General features: G+C 38.9%; 1 annotated feature.

The window, feature by feature from the left end:
- Positions 4,496-4,665: an enhancer, noted in NCBI's record as "experimental_90385 CRE fragment used in MPRA reporter constructs". NCBI's record gives its function as "activates a minimal promoter by MPRAs in K562 erythroleukemia cells, with activity observed for both the introgressed and non-introgressed 6:137692159 variant alleles {active_cell/tissue: K562}" and the evidence as "EXISTENCE:reporter gene assay evidence [ECO:0000049][PMID:34662402]".

Consider the following 21,833-nt stretch of genomic DNA (forward strand, 5'->3'; position numbering starts at 1 on the left):
AGGCTCAGAAGTGAGTGCATAAAGTACCAATGAAAAGTTTTCAAAACACTAGATGTTTTCCGCAAATGTGAAAGTAGGTGGTGAAGGCATTTGAAAGGACTTAGGCCCCAAAATTATGTAACTACTTTTAATGTAATGCAACAAAATTGTGTATTTCACTGTTAAAGATGGCCCACCTCCCCTTTTCCTATTTGCTTTAAAAATACTGCAATACGGTTTACAGTGATTTTTTTGTTTGTTTTTTTATATTACCTTTTTGTGAGGTAAAATCAATTTTGTACAGCCTAGTCATATGACAAATATATAAATAAATAACAAAGAATGATAGCCCATTACCAGGATTCTAAGATAAGTAGTAACTGTGTGAACTCTTTTGGTGAGGTCAAACCATGGCTAAAATCTGTGTCAGTGAGAGTTCCTGGAATTTCCGTGTTGAGCATCTCAGTGCTCCTGATGCCTTCAGCCCACATTGATGTAAAAGAAAATTAGAACTAAAGCTCAGATAATATTAGTAAATTTGATATATGCCAGAATGTGTAAGAAGTATTTTTATAGTATTACCTGGCAATCATATATATTGCCTTATTACACACAAGTCTAACTAATATTCTGATGAAGCAGGACCCATGGGTATTATATTTTTAAATGTAGGATGATCATACAAGTTTCGGATACTTCTGGTGGTATTATTAGTCTGTCATTTTATGCAGATGTTTCTTAAGAGTAGTCAATAACTTACCATTTAGAAATAAATTAATTCTTTAAAGGGAATCAATGCTTCCTTGTTCTAAAGTGAAAACACAAATAACACTCTCACTATGGATTGGCCTATATGCCCATCCACATGTATATATGATCCTGAAACTTACACAGCAGTACAGTGGTTTTGTGGGGATTTTTTTTTCCTTCTTAGAGAACAAACAACTCTAGTTAACAAAAGAGCATTTAAGATAGTGGTAAATAAATCTCAATTCAGCTCCTGAATGCAATTAAGTAATAGCGGATGAATTTAGAAATACAAAGCATGGGATACATGTACTCCCTCCCACGTTCATGACAGGCATCATAATTAATCCTGACATTTTGTAGCTGGCTACAACTCAGAATCCATCTCAATAATACTCCAAGGGATCACCACTATGTAATCAAGCTGCCGTATAGGATGACCTTCTATTTGCCACCCTTGGACTGGTTTCTTAATCTACTTGTGCCTTAGTTTCTTTATTAGAGAAATGATCACAAAGATTAGAGTCCTGTATGGAGACAGGATTGTGAATTTCTGGAATAGATTATCTAGGGATGATGATATATATCTTTTTTTGGAAAGTAAAAATAAAACATAATATCAATAGAGAAGAGTTTCAGTTAAGTCCATCTAAAAATAAGTTAAATTGCACATAATATCTGAGGACCTATCCATTTTTAGAATTCCATCATGGCTGCCTCGCCTCCTCAAGAAACTATTACTCCTAATATCATTGGTAATTAAAATGTATAATAAGTCAGAGATTTAATACAAGTGGAGTTTCATAGGCAAAGAATACTTCTCTAAATACATTGATTTCATGAAGACAAGGTAAAGATATTATTGAGTCTCTTATTCAATGTTTTTCCTAAATAGCATATTCCTCTATAAGTCAAAATATGACTACTGGGATATCTAACACCTGGAATACTCTTCCTTTCTCCTCTCAGGTTTGCTCTTGTCTTATTTCAAGTCTTTGCTGAAGTCTCAGCTCCTCAAAGACGCTTCTGTATTGCCTGATTTGAAGTAAATTGTCAACATTCCTGTGATTTTATCTCACAGCATCCCGTTCTTTCTCTTTACAACATTTACCACAAAAACTCCTATCTATCTATCTGTCTGCCTATCTATCTATCATCTATGTATCTTTCTTTCTTTCTATCCCTCTCATCTATTTCAGCTATCTCAACTTGTTTAGTAAGTTGTTTTTTCCAAAAGGGTAGGGACTATATTTTTGTTCACCACCTAAGGCCTTAACATATTCTAGAAGCCTTGGCTGTACACTAGACTCGCCTATGAAACTTTTTAGAAATCTCAATGCACAGACCAAACCCCCCAAAAATTATTAATACATCAGAGAGGATGTGTATTAGTCTACTCATGCTGCCAGAACAAAATACCACAGACTGGGTTGCTTAAACACCAAAATGTATCTTCTCATAGTTCTGGAAGCTAGAAATCCAGGATCGAATGTACCATCAGGGCTGGTTTCTGGTGAGGCCTATCTCCTTGGCTTGTAGACAGCCATCATCTCACTGTGTCCTTACACAGCCTCTTCTCTGTGCACTCACACAGACAGCAATAGAGAACAAGCTCTGGTGGTTCTCTTTTTATAAGGACACAAGTCTTATTGGATCAAGGCCCCACTCTTATGACTTCATTTAAATGTATTATCTCCTTAAGACCCTATCTCCAAATACAGGCACCTTGAGGGTTAGGGCTTCAACATAGGAATTTGGGGAAAGGGAAACAATTCCATCTATAACAGGATGAAACCAGGCATCTCTGTGTTTTAAAGCTCTGTTCCAATGGCCAACCGTCTTAGTCCATTTTGTATTGCTATTAACAGAAGACCTAAGGCAGGGTAATTGAGAAAGAAAAGAGGTTTATTTGACTCACAATTCTGGTGGCTAAAAAATCCAAGATTGTGCAGCTGCATCTGGTGAGGGCTTCATGCTGCTTCCACTCACAGCAGAGGGCAGAGGGCTGGGGGAGCAGGTGTGTGCAAAGGCAGAGGAAGCAAGAGAGGGAAACTGAGGAAGCCAGATTCTTTCAAACAACCTACTCTCTTGAGAACGATTTCATTCCTGGAGTGAGGGAGCCAAAACTCATTGACTCCAGCAGGAAAGCATTAACATATTCATGAAGGATCCTCCCCTATGACCCAAACACCTCTCACTAGGCTCCATCTCCCAATACTGCCACACTGGAAATTCAGTTTCAGCTAAGTTTTGGCAGGGACAACCCACATCCAAACTGTAGCACCAGCTAAAACTGAAAAACCACTATCATGTAGGGAGAAACATCAATATCAATTTTCACTGCAAACCTTAGCTTTTTTCATGTAACCTTGTTAGTAGCAGCACTGTAAGTTATGACATCCACAGAAAAAAATATGATGTAATCCAGCACCATCAAAAAGGAATGGGGAGGATGGAGATGGACACACTGACTGTGCAGAACGACGCTATTGCTGTGGTGCCACATTCACAGGCCTATGAACGGACTGAATTCAGAAACAAAACACAAAACACTCTCCTTTTCAATAAGCCTAGCAGTTTGCAGTGATGAGTACAAAAGCTGGGAAAAGGTTTTATGCTCATTCACAATTGGGGCTAAGCTGGTGGAATCATATCTCTCCTAAATGTGGCTAGAGGCAATTAAAAACAAGAGGAAGATTTAAAGCTTGATGCCTCCTAGATGTTAATTGGAAGGGAGAGAGGGAGTCCATGCAAATACAGCCACCTGCCTGGAAGACATGTATTTAGAGAAAGGATTTATGCAAAGCATCTGATTGTCTTTTGCTGTGGATACCCACCGAGTCTCCGAAGCAAGAAACTGGTGAGCTTTGGGTGGGCAGCCCAGAGTTTGGGCACAGTACATTGTGTAGGAAGCAACTGTTTGGGGTGGAAGCCACAGATCTGGAGTCAGAAGAGACCAATTTGAGACACTGCTGTGCCATTTACCCTCTTTGTAACCACAGGGCAAGTTACCCAGCCTCTGAGTCTCTGTCTCCTCAATTTTGTAACTAATAACATATGCCTAAAAGGATTGTCGTGAGGGTCATTTGTAAAGCCCAGGATAAAGCCTGGTCAGTATTATTACCATGTGCTTTACAGCAGTAATCACTCTGAAACTCCAATTTTCCTTTCACACAATGAGGGTCAGACCCACCTGAATTAGCTAATTTATGGGACTATTATGTTAACGGAGATGTACTGTTTTTGGAAAAACCTTTAGAGACACTAGATCTTGTCAAATTATTCAATAAAGATCCTTTGTGATTGGATCAAAATCATCAACTAAGCACAAGCTCCAGACACCCTTTCCTTCCTTAAACCCTAAAAATAACAGATTTAAGAATTTTTTTTAACAAATCTGAGAAACAAGAAGTGATGTCCGAGGTGGATCAGAAATTCTGTAGAGTCCCTGAAATAATTGGAAATTTTAAAATTAAATTGGACTTAAGGAGAAAAGCGAAGGCTGAAATACACATAGGAAGGCATCTGTCTGTAATGTAGGAGCAGCCTTGGAGGTGTTCCAAGTTTGGACCCAGCAGATATGGGGAGCAGACTGGGGCCCTTGCATGGCTGGCTGTGGAACACAGTGTAAGCAGCCAGGCAAACCAGTGTTAAAAGAAAAGAAACCTTAGACAAATCAAATTTAACACAGTTCAATTAAGCAAAGAATGATTTGTGAATCAGGCATAGCCAGGAACCAGAACAGGTTCAGGAGGCTCCAGCACAGCCACATGGACAGAAAAAGGGAAATGAGGTACAGAAAATGGAAGTGAGAAACAGAAACAGCTAGATTGGCTGTAGTGTGGAGCTTGACTTTTTTGAACCCAGTTTGAACAGTTGGCTGACTTTGGCCAAAACATGATGATTGTTTTGAAAGCTTACAGTCTGTTTACACATCTGATTAGGTTACAGTTCACTATGTACAGAGAAACCAAAAAGGCACTCTTAGGCTGGACTGAATTTAACAATTCTCACCTTTTGGTCATCCTCTCAATTTTGGGAGATAGACCAAAACTTTAGGCATTGATATCACTCTGTCACCATGATAAATGTACTTATTTTGTCTCAAATCCCACTGGGAAATAGCAGAACAGTAGGTTTTGTGAGGTGGAAATAAGGACTTTGGTTTACTGTTTTTTAGAGGGCAAGAGTAGAGGGGAACTCCTTGTGTTGGAATATCCTGTTTATAGGAGAAAACAAAACCTGGTTTGTTTTAGGATTTATCTCTTTCCCTAAAGTTTTAGTTTGATTATGTTACATTTAGCATGAGTGACTCCATTTTGGTTTGGTCTGGTCTGTCGGGGCCTAGTACACATGCTCAGTCCAAAACAATGACCTTCCAAAATTTTGTTTAAAAAGCGCCCCCTTTTGGTCAGGTTCTCATTTAGGCAACTGTGTGATCAAAACTTAGGGCCTTAGCACCACTCTCATTTACCATCATTTTGGGTTTCTAGTCTTAGCATGTCATTTATAGGTTATGATGTCCTCGTGGTCACACAAGTCCTTGAGTTTTTGTCACTCCAGTCAATGAAAGACTATTTGACATTCTAGAGACGGCTGCATGCAAACATTTAAAACATTTGAGAGAATACAGTGTACCAGGGAAACTACCATTATGTTTATCAGAAGGGCGATGCCAGGAGTTTGGAGTCTGCTCCTTAGCCAGGATCCCCGTGAACCAAACCAACTAAAATCAAATAGATCAAAGAATGAGCTAGATAAAGAGTCTACTTGTTTTAAACAAACCTCTTGTTCTGTTTATTAATTTTTTACAACTGAATCTCTGTGATACTCAATGTATTCCTTTATGTGCAACTAGAAGTGTCAGGAACTGCACAGATACTTCTCTGTTTAGCCAGTAAATAATTTAGAACAAGTCTATTATTTAGCAAAACTTTCACAAAAGAATTTAAAGTCTGTTGTGTAATCATAGCCTTTGCAGTAGAATTTGCTATAGAGCCTATTATGAGGGATATATTTCTAACCATTGCTTCATTTATTCCAAACCATGGAAAAAGCAACCTAACAAATGATGCCCATCTAGAATACTGAAGGTCTCCTGCCAATGTTCCCTTTAACCTATGCTGGCAATGTTCTCTTTAACCTATGATGTAAGTTAAAAAGAGTGGGCCAATATTCTGTTTCTGATCAACTATGAAGCAACAAATGTACAACTAAAATTTTTCACCTAAAGTGGCCTTTCTTCCTCCATCAAGGCGTAAGTTTGTTCATGTATAAGGTTAGCTGAGAAATCCTCCACGAATAAAAGTATACCTCATGAATGCACACAAAAGACCCCTTTTCAGTTCATTGTTCATAGAGGCATAAGCAAGGAGAACAATGAGAGATAAGAGTCTTATGATAGCAGAAAAATTTTGATCTGTGATCTTGGAGAAAAGCTGTCCATGTCTGGATGCCACCTGTTTCTGGGGAGAAACTTCCCTGGCTAGCTTTATCTTAAGGTCTCCAAAGTGTGTACAGTTTCAAGAGTTTGGAGTGGCCCTTCTGAGTGAGATTATGAACTCAATGTTCCAGGCCCCAAAGTTTTCCTGCAGTGTGAGTGGCAAGGGCAGTGTTTGATGTTCTCAGAAGACCCAGTCTCCAGGTTCTAGACTGTGAAAGGGTTGATTGTATGGACAGTCAGTGGAGCATGAAAAGCTTTCTTTACCTGAAGAAAATACACTTTGGCATAACGCATTAAAACCTCGCAGCATTTAGTCATATCAGAGTCCAGTAGCAGAAGATACATGAGGTTCTATTATTAGGTGCATAGCTCTTCCAGTGATCATTTAGGGCCAAACGTATGTCTTCCACTGGAAATGGATCTGATTGTCATCAGTCGGCAATACCTTTCTCCAAGGCAACCCAGTCAATTCAGCTAGTTTTGCCTAATGCTATTGTATCTGTAATACTTTATTTAACTATTTTATGATTTGTCCACTGTCACAAATACCTTTATTACTGGAGATTTCTCTAAGAATGTCCCATGAGAAACACCTTTTCAAAAAACTTTTAGCTACTTTTATAACATCAACCATCTTGTATGAGAAAGCTTTTATACAATCAGAAAACATGCATTGAAAATGACAATTGAATGAAAACTCTCTATAAATGTTTAAATGGCACATCAGGTAGCAGAAATGTAACTCAAGTTGTGAGTGTCTTCCCAGGATTGTAGGTTTTACAAACCAAATATTGGTCATGAACCATTTTAGCAATTTATAGCAGTCAACATATATTTACTTTGAATTATTTTATTTCTTCCGTGATGAGTCACAGAGTGCAGAGCTTTCACTAGTGGAAGGTATAAGGACTCAGGAAGGGCCAGGCTGGTGTCCAGGCTCTCCATGTGTCCACACTTAACATTGGACTTATGTCTTCCTAAATACCCATTTTATTTCTTCAATTTAGGTGCATAGCACTGTTTACTGGATGGATTATCATAGGTAACTTGACTTGAAGCATGGGGTTTATTTAAATTGCATATCCAAAGAATTTAAGTACTGCCTGATTTAACATGAAAACCTGGCAATGTACAAGAAAGCTTGATATTTAATTAATTTTTGTCCTGCTTGAGTTAGCAGTTTTATATGCCAGTCAGTCTTTTCATTAGACTTTTGAGAATTCTTACCCAGTCCAAATGATATGATCCTAAAGTTATCAGAAACCGGCATTCAAGAGTGCTTGTCAAGGTCCTTTCCATCGTTTGATGAACCTCCTTGAAAACACAGACTCTAGGATTTTGTATGCTTGTGAAGAGTTTTCAGAAACTGCATCAGAACTAAGCAATCAACTGTGGAGATGACTTAAAATGGTCATAAAAACACAATTGACAAGAAAATTTAGTTATTTCTGTGGCCTACAATAATTTAATATAATAACCATAATTATGAGTGACACTATATATCCAGACATATCAGAATTATAGAAAACCCATACAATTTTGGAGCATATATTAATAATATATTCATAAAAACGTAACTGGAAGGTTAAACATCATCTCTTATTTGACAATGCTTCGCATGTTATTTAACATATCAAATAATCCTGTTAATCTCTCCTTTGGATGCTACAGGGTCTGGAGGGGCTCTCTGAAGCATTCCAAAGTTAGAGGTTAAAAAGAAAAAAAGTTAATTTTGAAGTTCAAATTTGATTTTGAGAAGCTCGTCAAATATGTCAGAGGTTTAAACACTCTAGACCAAAATAAGATCACAGGTCACTATAAAAAAGTCATTTATTTAGACAAAGTAATAAACAAAAGATTTTAAAAAGCAAAAACCTTTACTCTTCAATAGAGAGGAGACAGTTTTCCAAACAGTCAAAAGACCTCAGAGGGACAGCATGAGACAAAATCTCTGTCCTCTCCTCTCTTCTCTGTTTTGCAGTTTACTCAAAAGGTGAACAAAAATATTTGCTGTCTTAGTAATACTACATGAAACTCTTGTTCAAAAGAAAAAAATAAATTTTACTTTTCTATTAGTGTATTATCAATATTAAAGAGCAAAATTATAAAGAAATCTGTCACCTTTTGACCACACAAGATTTCCAAACAGTTTTATATCTTACATTTTTTCCCCAACTTTATATTCATTTAGTCCTATCTATTTTTTATTCCTTCAATTTAAAACATTTAAGTAACTTCTAAACTAGACAAAATTATTTTTCTCAACACCTATATTGTCATACCTATACCATCTTTTCACCAAAAGCATATCTTGCTTTTGTTTATGCCCTATATACAGAATTGTTTTTCTCATATCTAGTAGTTTTAATATTAACTATAATTTTAACTTTTAGTAACCCTAATTTCTAGTGAAAACCCTAGGAAGAAATTTTGTTTTATATCAGTATTTGCAGATAAAAACCAATTATAAATTTTTAGAAAGATGTTTCCTTCAATTATTGTTTAGTAAGAGATCTAAATATATTTAGCTTTTCTATACCATATAAAAATGACATGTCAAGTTATATAACTTAAATTCATGTTTAATAATTAGTATTTCCATATTTTAATTTACAAATTACTCAGATATTTTATGATTATGTATTACTTAATTTAACACGAATTTAAATATTTTAAATTGCTGAAAACAATTTTGAAGCTATGACACAGGTCCCCTCCCTAATGGTCTTCTCCAGTTGCCCTGGGTCTCAAGTAGCCACGTGGCATCCAGGAGGGCTATGAAGGCAGGATCTGTCTAAGTCCTGAATGTACATTGCAGGAATAGAGCTCAGGGCAGAAGACAGAGCTGTGAAGAGGATGCCTGGAGGATCCAGTCCCTCCCAGAGTAGCCAAGAGGCAAAGCTAAGGCAGGAAAGAAGGTGCCATACTGGGCTTGATTCTACCTTGTAGCTATTGGGCTAGGTCTTACCATGGCAACCTATCCAGACCCCTGTATCTAGAGGCTCAGAACCAAAAACATAAGCTCACAGTCAATTCAAGCAAGTATTGAATTATATTTAACTGACAATTTTGAAACCATTCCTACGTTACCAACAATTTAAAAGCTAGTCATATTTATCAAATATTATCATATACACATATAGACATACAAATGGACAGAAGCTGATCTTATAGCTTCCATAAAGGATTCTTATTGGCCAGCTTTTAAATAGTTTTTCCTTTCCACATTCAGACTATCATTCTTCTAATTACCTGTTTCATTGCCCTAAGCAATTGTTAACTAGGCAACAAATTTGCATTTCTAGAGGGAAAATGTTAGGTGAAATAAGAATATTTATATTTGAAAAGCACAGAACTTAAGACTTTAGTCCAAAATATGGCACCATTTGCACCAAATATTGCACCAAACCAAGGAAAAAATGATGTAAGTGAAAGTTCAGTTAAGACAAGATGGCCAGGAAAGCATTTTAAACAAAGATATGACTTGTTATGTAAATTTTAGAATGATGGTAAGCATTTCTAATGTACACAGTCATACTTACAAATACAGATTTCCTTTCTAGATGTAAATTTTTTTTACAAAGGATTTTAAGATAGCCAGTTGATGTGGTTTGACTGTGACTCCACCCAAATCTCATCTTGAACTGTAGCTCCCATAATTCCCTTGTGTTGTGGAAGGGACTCACTGGGAGATAATTGAATCATGGGGGTCGTTTCTCCCATACTGTTCTCACTGGTAGTGAATAAATCCCATGAGATCTGATGGTTTTGTAAGGGGAAACCTCTTTCACTTGGCTCTCACTCTTTTCTTTTGCTGCTGCCATGTAAGAAGTGCCTTTCGCCTTCCGCCATCATTGTGAGGCCTCCCCAGCCACATGGAACTGTGAGTCCATTAAACCTGTTTTTCTTCCCAGTCTTGGGTATGTCTTTATCAGCAGCGTGAAAATGGACTAATACAGCAGTCAAATGCCAGAAAGGCATATTTTAGTTCAACAGGTGATCTTTGTAAATTAGCTGAAATTGTTGAGTTTGGGGTGAATCCTATTAAGGAATAGGACAAAAAAGCATTCTCTCTGCCTGGACTCAGCACGGTTCGATCTGAAAACCGAAGCAAGCCTACTTTATCTTAGGGCCTACTTTTTAGAATCACTTTATCTAGGAGAGCTTTCTTTTTACCTGTGAGATGGGATAGTAACTAAGCTAAAAGGTTAGCAGATTTAATTTTTCTTATCAATTAGTCATTCAAGCTTTTTATTTGCCTTTTATAAACAGTCTTTAAAGTAAAAAAGCAATAAAATTATTGAAATCTTTCAGAAGTGTCTGCAAATCAAGAGGCATCCCTGGCTGATACTAATTCAGGAGCCCTCGCTTCCAAATGCCTTTCTTAAAGGACAGTGTTGTTAGCTTGGAATGTTTCATTGTAGTTTTAAATTACCCTTAGTAAGATTTTATCATTTTTGTGAGTGCTTGCTGCTTCTGAGGCCTAATATTTATGCATGTATAAACTGGAAGGCAGCGTACTCAGGTCTTCAGAAATTAAGGATCCCATTTTTACCCTGAATCCTGGCTTTGGCTTTCAGATCCCCTTGATCAACTAGCCAATGATTTTTCCCTACCTAGGCATGCAACAAAAAGAAACAAGGGGGGTAGAACACAAAAATCTCTGCAAATATTTGAAAGTTGCAGTTTGTACCCCCTGCAGTATTGCCATTTACTACCAGTCTGATGCCTCTAATGAATCCAAGGCAGTTAATTATCAGATCCAATTCAACCCTGGACCCAGTCCAGTTTCTGTCGTCACTTCCAAACCCAACTTGGATCCGAAATTTGCACAAAGAAACTTGGATAGCTCAAAACACAAATCAGTAGACCTTTGGAATCTGGGAGAGAACTTACCAACAATCCCCAGTTGCTGCAAGAAAGCAATGGCCGGGCGCGGTGGCTCACGCCTGTAATCCCAGCGCTTTCGGAGGCCGAGGCGGGCGGATCACGAGGTCAGGAGATCAAGACCATCCTGGCTAACACGGTGAAACCCTGTCTATACTAAAAATACAAAAATATTAGCCGGGCGTGGTGGCGGGCGCCTGTATTCCCAGCTACTTGGAAGCCGGAGGCAGGAGAATGGCGTGAACCCGGGAGGCGGAGCTTGCAGTGAGCCGAGATAGCGCCACTACACTCCGGCCTGGGCGAAAGAGCAAGACTCTGTCTCAAAAAAAAAAAAAAAAAAAAAAAGCAATGAACACAATGCGCCTGGCAGGCACCTCGCCTGGTCACCTGGTGCTCCCTGGGGTGGCTAGAAGCTCTACCTTGGATCCCACTTCTGATACCATCTGCTAAAAGAAAAACTTTAGACAAATTAAATGTAACATAATTTAATTGAGCAAAGAATGATTTGTGAATTGGACAGCTCCCAAACCTGAATAGATTCAGAGAGATTCCAAACAGTCACATGGTGGAAGAAGATTTATGGACAGAAAAAGAAAAGTTATTCACAGAAAATGGAAGGGAGATGTGGAAACTGCCAAGTTGGTTACAGCTCAGCACTTGCCTTACTTGGACCCAGTTTGAACAGTTGGCCGCCTTTGATTGACCGAAACACAATGATTGTCACAAGAGTAGGTTACAGTTTGTTTACACATTCAGTTAGGTTACAGTTCACTATGTTTGGTAAACCTCTAAAATATGTAAAAAGGCAGCTTTAGGCTGAACTGAATTTAGCACTGGCCTCTTTTTTCCTCCTTGCTTGTTTCAAGCAGCAAGCAGGAAAGAAACTTTCTGTAAGTGGCATCCGTGATTGTGGCTCCCTGAGCTGGAGGAGTGAGACAGGGTAGGACCCCCAAGTGACTGGTAAAAATCAAGATGGGTAAGAAACCCCCACATCAAGAAGTCTAACTGCTCATGAAAAACTCCCCAGTGCAAAGATGATTATTCAACCAAGACTCACCAAGTGCTTGAATAAAACTTACACCAGGTAAGAGAGGCATCACACTCAGTAAAGAGTAGGGCAAACCAAACAAGATATTAGAATAAGTATAATTTCAACCCCAAAGTTAATGTGAGAATATTTAGAACACATTAACAAAATTTAAAACAATGACAACAAAACAATAACAAAAATATAAGCTAGATATTTGGAAAATTAAATATTTGATTGTTGAAATTAACAGCCAACAGAAGGGCTAAAGAGCACAATGAAAATAGTTGAAGAGTTAGTGAGTCAACATTGAGATGAAGGATTCTTCCTGAATACTCTATAAAAAGATAAAGGAATGCATTATATGAAAGAAATACTGAGAGACTTGGAGAATGGATCCATCAGCTCTACCTGATATGCATTCTAAAGGAAGAACAGAAACAAATATAAAAGAAGCAATGGAACAAGTTCCATAGTTTAAGAAAAAAGTGAGTAATATTAAAGGGATTCATTGAGTGGAGGCTGGAGAATTTGAAGATACTTGTTAACTATAATATGTGGAATGTATATAAAATTAAAAGTAAAGACAGAGAGAAAGCCCAGTCATTGTAGAGGTCTAGATTAGGCAGGGAGCAAAGGTACGTGAGCAGGCTTTTTTGCCTTCCTGGTTTTATAGTCTGCTATATTCTGTATATATGGAGGACTTCCATATGTATAGACATAAACACTGGTATTATCTTATAATACCAGTGCACTAAACCCAGGCACTTTCTAAAGCCACACACTTTCCAATTCTATTACTTGACCTAAATAGAAGAAAACTGATTTTTGGCCAGGGAGATCAGTTTTGTAAAACTGACTTATTACAGTTGTGATTAGATTGATTAATCCTTCTAATTTAGAGTACACTATGAGAATTTGAATCTCAAACACTATGTATGGTTCATTTCATTTGGCCCACTTATTCTACTCTAAAGAATCTAATTTAAGGTAATCATAAATTCAGAAAGTGTTTGTGAAAGAGATATTCATCATGATATTATTTGTAAAGTGAAAAAGAGGAAACACTTTTATGATTAAATAAATTATGGCTGGAACCACAAAAGTCCCTAAATAGTCAAAGCAATTTTGAGCAAGAAGAAAAAAACTGGACAAAAACATTTCCTGATTTTAAAATATATTATAAAACTACAGTAATAAAAACAGTATGGTACTATATACAATAGACATGTAGACCAATAGAACAGAATAGAGAACCCAGAAATAAACCCATGCATACACTGTCAACTGATCTTCCTAAAGGGACCAAGTATACATAATGGGGAAAGAAAAATCTCTTCAGTAAATGAGAAAACTGCATATCCACATGCAAAAGAATAAAATTGGACCCTTATCTTACACCATGTATGAAAATCAATAAAAATGTATTAAAGACTTAAATGTAAGACTTGAAACTGTAAAGCTCCCAGAAGAAAGCATAAAGATAAAGCTTGTTGACATTGGTCATGATGTTTTGGCTATGACAGCAAAAACACTGACAACAAAAGCAAAAATAGGTGAATGGGATTACATCAACAAAAAGCTTCTGCAAAGTAAAAGAAACAACAAATGAAAAGTAAATTCCCAAAATGAAAGAAAATATTTGCAAACCAGATATCTGAAAAAGTGTTAATATTCAAAACATGTAAGGAATTTATACAACTTGATAGTAACAAAACAACACAAATAATTCAATTAAAATATGGTCAAAGGAACTGGATAGATATGACCTTAAAGAAAACATACAGATGGCCAGCAGGTATATGAAAAGGTGTTCAACACTACTAATGATCAGAGAAATGCAAATCAAAATCACAATGAGATATCACCTCATACCTGTTAGGATGGCTATTACATATATTTATACACACATAACAGAATAAAGAGCCCAGAAATAAACCCATGCATACTCTGTCAACTGATCTTCACAAGAGTACCAAGAATACATATATGTATATATGTATTCTTTAAAATATAAATGTTGGCAAGAATGTGAAGAAAAGGGAACCGGTAGTAAGGGTACATTCTTACTACCGGTAAGAATGTAAATTGGTGCAGCCACTATGGAGAATAGTACTGAGATTTCTCAAAACATTAAATATAGAACTACTCTATGACCCAGCAATCTCACTTCTGGGTATACATCCAAAGGAAATAAAATCAGAATCTTGAAGAGATATCTGCACTCTCATTTAATTGCATCATTTTTTCCAACAGTCATGACATGGGAGCAACCTGAATGTCCATTGACTGATGAATGGATGAAAAAAATATGGGATATACATCCAAAAAAGATTATTCAGGCTTAAAAAGGAAGGAGATTCTGCCATTTTTAACAAAATGAATTAACCAGGAGGACATTGTGGTAAGTGAAATAAGCCAAAAACAGAAGAAAAAATACTACATGCTCCCACATATATGAGGAATCTAAAGTAATCAAACTCATAGCAATAGAGAGTAGAGTGGTGATTGCCCAGGGACTGGGGGAGGAGTTTTGGAAAAACAATTGTGGCACATGTACATAGTGAAATACCATGCAGTTCAGTAAAATGTTTCTAGAGAAGTTCAAATGACATAGAAAAATCCATGTAAAATGTTAAACAAGAAAAAGAACATGTTAAAATGGCATGTGCAAAAATGAGTAAGTAAATAATTACACAATCATACAAAAAACTAGACAGGCATACACTTACATATTATTATATGTTAGTCATTTTTTAAAACTCTAGTTGTTTTTAAATTTAACTTTTAAGTTCAGGGTTACATGTGCAAATTTGTTGTATAGATAAACTTGTGTCATGGGGGGTTGTTGTACAGAATATTTTGTCATCCAGGCATTAAGCCTAATATCCACTAGTTAGTTTTCTTGATCCTCTTCCTCCTCCCACCCTCTATCCTCTGACAAGCCCCAGTGTGTGTTGTTCCCCTCTATGTATCCATATGTTCTCATCATTTAGCTCCCACTTATGAGTGAGAACACACAGCATCTGATTTTCTGTTCCTGCATTAGTTTGCTAAGGATAATGGCCTCCAACTCCATCCATGTTCCTGGAAAAGACATGATCTCATTATTTTTAATGGCTGCATAGTAGTCCATGGTGTATATGTACCATATTTTCTTTATGCAGTCTACCATTGATGGGCATTTATCTTGATTCCATGTCTTTGCTAGTGTGAATAGTGCTGCAATGAACATATACATGCATGTGTCTTTATGATAGAACAAGGTATATTCCTTTGGGTATATACTCAGTAATGAGATTGCTGGGTCAAATGGCATTTCTGGTTTTAGGTCTTTGAAAGATTACCACCCTGTCTTCCACAATGGTTGAACTAATTTACACTCCGACCAGCAGTGTATAGTGTTCCTTTTTCTCTGCAACCTCACCAGCATCTGTAATTTTTTGACTTCTTAGTAATAGCCTTTCTGACTGGTGTGAGATAGTATCTCATGGTGGCTTTGATATGCATTTCTCTAATGGTCAGTGATGTAGAGCTTTTTTTCGTATGATTGTTGGCTGCATGTATTTCTTCTTCTTTTTTCTTTTTAATATTATATTGTATGTTTAAAAATCTTGTTTTGATTAGTATGTGTCACATATATTTTTTAAAATTTCCATCAAACCACAGAAGTAAAACAACTGTGCTGTCTTTGGAAGAAAAATAACACTCTAGTCAAGTCATCACAGACCATCCCAGCACAGGCTCATTTCCCTTTCACTTGATTTGGGGACAAACTGAGCCACAGCTACACAACATGGGACTTTCTGAGCATCCCCTCATGTCCTGAAAGAACCTGCACTCATGCTCCCCATTGCTTGACACCCCACTGAGTCAGGTAGAACTTGTTTTCCTTCCAGATTAACTTTGTGGTTACATGACATGAATGTTTAGGACAACAAGCAAATGTCTATCCCAGACAGAAAAGTTTCAATATTTTTACCCCTCTCTACCACTAACTTTATGTGTAAATAAGAATCTTCTTATTTTTTAACATAAATCAGATAGGCCCTGCCCCAGGATCTATCTGTCTATAAAATTTGTGTCATTTGCAAAGCCTGAAGTCATGGCCTGCTGCTCCATCAGAGTGTCTTTCTCACTTACCTCTGATCCTATCATCCCACAACCAGTTCCTTTGTTGTAAGAGCATTGCAGTAGTGAATCGGGGTCTATGGAACACAGAGCAGTTAACCTGGGGGAGAAATTGCTTCCTAAGATGGCTCATTTCTTTCTTGCATGGGCTATGCAAAACCACAGAGAATGCTTGACTTCTGAAAGGCTATGTTTTGACTCAAAAAGCTTCCAAAGGTCATCCTTTTGGTCTGGGTCCTCAGCATACTCTCCCCTTTTGGAGTCCCTGCTCTATTTCTTATGGAGTTGCATCCATTTATCCAAGCCCTGAATCTCCCCTCCTCCAGCACAGGCGATATTGACCAAATCCAGACAGTGAAGCAGCCGTTCATGCCGTCCTTGAGATCTCACTGACGTGCCACCAGGATATCTCATCTCCCTTCCTATCTTTGAGAGAGTTGCATGTGATAGCACTTCCACAACCCAACCAAGGGACAGCTTCTTTCCTTTTTCCTTGATTTATAAATCCATTAATTTTTTTTTTTGAGACAGGGTCTCATTCTGTCACCCAGGATGGAGTGCAGTGGTGCACTCATAGCTCATTGACGCCTGCAACTCCTCAGCTCAAATGATCCTCCTTCCTCAGCCTCCTGAATATCTAGGACTACAGGTGCATGCCAACAGCCCAGCTAATTTTTTAATGTTTTTGTAGCGATAGGGTCTTGTTACATTGCCCAGGCTGGTCTTGAACTCCTGGACTCCTCAAGTGATCCTCCTGCCGTGGCCTCCCAAAGCACTGGAATTACAGGCACAAGACACTGAGCCTAGCTGATTCATTTTTCTTTCCCTTCCTTCCTTCCTTCCTTCCTTCCTTCCTTCCTTCCTTCCTTCCTTCCCTCTTTCCTTCCTTCTTTTTCTTTCTTTCTTTTTTTTTCAGAGTTTTGCTCTTGTCGCCCAGGCTGGAGTGCAACGGCACGATCTTGGCTCATTATAACCTCTGCTTCCCATGTTCAAGCGATTCTCCTGCCTCAGCCTCCTGAGTAGCTGGGATTACAGGTGCCTGCCACCACGCCTGGCTAATTTTTTGTATTTTTAGTAGACACGGGGTTTCACCTTGTTGGCCATGCTGGTCTTGAACTCCTGACCTCAGCTGACCCCCCCGCCTCAGCCTCCCAATGTGCTGGGATTACAGGCATGAGCCACCGTGCCCAGCCCCCCATTAATTTTTTCTAACATATTTTGTAATTATTTATAAGATACTTCTGATCTTTTGGGAAGATGAAAAATATATGAACATTTATTTATTAACATAAAGTTTTTACTTAAGTCGCTGGGCAGAAGCCAGAGCCTCAGGTATCTTTTGTGATCATTGGCATAAATCCAACAAATTGGACTGCTGTCCACTTGTAGAAAGAAAGTAGATTGTAGTTTCAGAGACAAATGATTTTGAATGCTGCCTCCTTGATGTGAGAGTCTGGAAGCACTTGTCTTCTCGTTAGTTAATGGACATAATATAAAGCATGGGTAAAATGATGCACCTATAATTAAAATAAATTTTGAAATATTGATTTGTTGATATCCTCAGAATTTTCTTACTAATCTTGCCCTCCCCTCTCCAGCGCCTATCAGCACTGAGGATATTTCTTATTTACTTCTTTTAAGGAAATAGCATTCCAAAATGGACAGAGAAAGTAAAGTCAACTCTTTTTTTTTTTTTTTTTTTTGTAGACAGCATCTTACTCTGTTGCTCACACTGGAATGCAGTGATGTGATCATAGCTCACTGCAGCCTTAAATTCCTGGGCTCAAGTGATTATCCTGCCTCAGCCTTCTGAGTAGCTGAGACCACAGGTGCATGCCACCACACCTGGCTAATTTTTTTAATTTTTATTTTATTTATTTTTATTTTTTGTAGTGATGAGGTCTTGCTATGTTACCCAGGCTGGTCTTGAACTCCTGGTTGCAAGCAATCTTCCTGCCTTAGCCTCCCCAAATGTTGGGATTATAGGCATGAGCCACTGCACCTGGCCAACTCTCAGCTTTTGAGTTTCAGTATGAACTTTTGAAACTCATAGCAGAGGCAAGAATAAGAGAGAAAAGGATTTGGAGACACAAAAACCAAGGCCATAAAGAGCCAGTACTTAAATTTTTTCCATCAATAATGGGTCAGACAAATGTAAATGATGTGATCATGTGTCTTCCCTTGGTAGAAGAGATGAAGATCCTCAGGGCTGGAGGAGAGAGAGAAGCAGAATGGTAAAGCAAGATTGAGGCTATCGTGAGCATCCTTCATATAATGCCTTGAACTCAACTCCGGACAAGTCAAGTACCATGGTGAAGGCAAACTGAGCCTCCATTTCTGAAATCAGAAGAACCCAAGCTGGTAAGCATAGCAGAGTCCCTCTACATTGCCATGGTGCTATAGCAGGAAGGCAGAGAAGCTATGTCTAGATAGACAGAGCCTGAGACAGCCCACTGAGGGCATTGAAAAGATCCTTATGTCCCTTTGAGAGGAGGCTGAAATAGCTGATGAGAGCTGGTTGACCCGGAAAAGTCTCGTGGACAAGGCCCAGGGTGATCTCTTCTCACTATGCATCTTATGTTATTACTATGCACACGCTACCTTGGGACTCCTGTTGGCTCAGGATACACAAGTAATAATCGGCTGTGTAGTGTAATGATTAAAAGAATCAGTGTGGAGTCAATATGTCCAGTCTAATTCCTAGCCTTACCTTGTACTAGCTGGGGAATGTTAGAAAACATTCTTTACCTCTCTGTGCCTTGGCCTTTTTAAAAATCATAATGGGAAAGATGATAGCACCTATCTCCTATGGAAGGACTAAATAAGTGAATCTAAAAACTTAGAAAAATGCCTGGCCCAGAATAAATACCTTATGTGTTGGCAAAAATAACAATGATTAGGATTATTAGTAGTAGTGCTATTATTTTGTGATTTCTCTTATAATAACCTCCCTTTCTTTCCTGCCGTCCTTGCCTGTTAAACTCTGATATATCCTTCCAAACTATCAATTATGTCTGCCCAAATTGGCAGCTCTCATCAGAGCCACATGACCAGAAGAGATCCAGGTCTCTAAAAGAAGAAGGGAGAGACTGTGGGTCAGGGCGGACACAATTTAGAGTTGTGGTCCGGGGATGAGCAAGTGACTAGGGTTGGGCCAATCATGGGACTTCTTTAACTCTAAAATGCTCATAGTTCAGAAACATGGAGGTTTGTGGAGATTTTATTTGCAAGAGCAGTTTTACTGGGGTGGTAGTGAAGGAGCATACGCCAGGTTGTTGTGTGTTGAGGACTGAATGGGAGGGAAGTCTGTGGAAACAGCACAGATAGAATCCTTATTCAAGTTGTGTAGCTGTGAAGGAAGGGGAGATTAGGTCCTTGCCATTGAGGAGAAAGAGGAATTGGGAAACTGTGATTTTAAATGGGCCACACACGTGGAAGTTGAACTGACCCTGGGTGATAAAAATGAGCCGAAGTCCTGAAGAATCTGTGAAAATAGCCAGGACATCCGTGGTCCAACCAGCTGAAAAGATCTGCAAAAGAGAAAGAATTTTTGCATAAAAATAAAGTAACAGTGACCTGAAGTAGTGGAGTTTACACTTCCAGTTGCAGGTTCTTGAGGAAGGGCCTCAGAGCTCTGTCCAGCTGGCATAGTGTAGTCGGTCCAAGTGAGTAGGCTGAACTGTGCCCCTCCAAAATCTGTATTTTGATGCCCTAACTCCCCAGTACCTCTCCTATATTCAGAGATCAGGCCATAAGAAGATGATTACGTTAAAAATGCATTCATTAAGCATCGAGTAAGACATAGACAGAGGGATGACCATGTGAGGGAGGACATGGTGAGAAGGCGGCCGTCTGCAAGCCAAGGGCAGTCTTCAGAAGAAACCAAACTTATTGATGTCTTGATCTTGGACTTTTAGCATCCAGAATTGTGAGTGTATCAGTCTGTTTTCACACTGCTGATAAAGACATAACCAAGACTGGGTAATTTATAAAGAAAAAGAGGTTTAATGGACTCACAGTTCCACATGGCTCACAATCATGGCGGAAGGCAAAAGGCATGTCTCACATGGTGGCAGACAAGAGAAGAGAGCTTGTGCAAGGAAACTCCCCTTATAAAACCATCAGATCTTGTGAGACTTACTCACTATCACGAGAATGGCACAGGAAAGACCTGCCCCCAGGATTCAATTACATTCCACCAGGTCCCTCCCACAACACGTGGGAATTGTGGGAGCTACAATCCAAGATGAGATTCGAGTGGGGACACAGCCAAACTATATCAGTGTGAAAATAAATTTCTGTTGTTTAAACCACCAGTCTGTGGTATTTTGTTATGGCACTGTTCGCACAAAAATAAACAGATAGAGTTAGCCAAGGATAGGGAGTTTGGCTAGGACAGAAGAAATGAAGGATGTAAAATCCGTCTCATGAGGGCAGGCCCACACAAAAAGCCACCAGGTGGACTGATAGTCCCAGGCCAGACTTCTCTGTGTCCTTTTGTAAAGGGAACATGCTCTGTGGGAGGAAGAGGCCAAGCAGGACTGAGCTGCTCCGTTGTAGGCACTGGTCTGAGCAACAGAAGGCTGGTTCCTTGGGTGGCACTTCTGAGTATTTAGAGAAATATCCTAATTCTCAGGAGACACAGGATTGCATAATTTGCAAAACTTTCTGAGACTCAGAGTAAGATATTGGGTCCAAATGGGAAGACTAACCAGTGAGGATAAAAGCTTCTCTGATTCAGGAGACTTAAGGGTTCTTTCCAAAGCTGTGGTGGTTCCTGCAGTTCCTGCCCTGCCTAGAATCTTGCCAACATGGAATTGCCTGATGGTAGACTTTGAGCTCTAAACCAGAGGTCTCTAACCCCCGGGCCACAGCCACCGTTACCTTCTGCTGTGCAGCGGGGTTCCTAACAGGCTGCACAGCGGGAGGTGAGCAGCAGGTGAGCAAGAGAAGATTCATCTGTATTTATAGCCACTCCCCATTGCTCACATTACTGCCCGAGCTCCGCCCCTGTCAGATCAGCGGAGGCATTAGATTATCATAGGAGCATGAACCTTATTGTGAACTGCACATGCGACGGATCTAGGTTGCAGGCTCTTTATGAGAATCTAATACTTGATGATCTGTCACTGTCTCCCATCACCCCCAGATAGGACCATCTAGTTTCAAGAAGACAAGCTCACGGTTCCCACTGATTCTAGATTATGGTGAGTTGTATAATCATTTCATTATATATTAAAATGCAATAATAATAGAAATGAAGTGCACAATAAATGTAATGTGCTTGGATCGTCCCGAAACCATCCCCCTCACCCTGGTCCGTGGAAAAATTGTCTTCCATGAAACAGGTCCCTGATCCCTGGTGCCAAAAGTATAGGGACCGCTGCTCTAAACCATGACCTGAAATGCCCCTGAGCACCCATGCTTACCTGACCATAAAGGTGCCAAGCCTGGTCCAGGACCCTGATCCATGGTGACCTATATCCCAGCAGGGAGGAGAAGCACTTACTACACATCACCTTCATAAGAACCTAACCCAGAAGACTTGCATTGGAAGGGTCACTGCCCTCACTTGGTGACCCCTTGCCAGCACTCCTACAAATACATAGCATGTTAAGC

This window comes from Homo sapiens, chromosome 6, assembly GCF_000001405.40.
Source record: "Homo sapiens chromosome 6, GRCh38.p14 Primary Assembly".
NCBI lineage: Eukaryota > Metazoa > Chordata > Mammalia > Primates > Hominidae > Homo > Homo sapiens.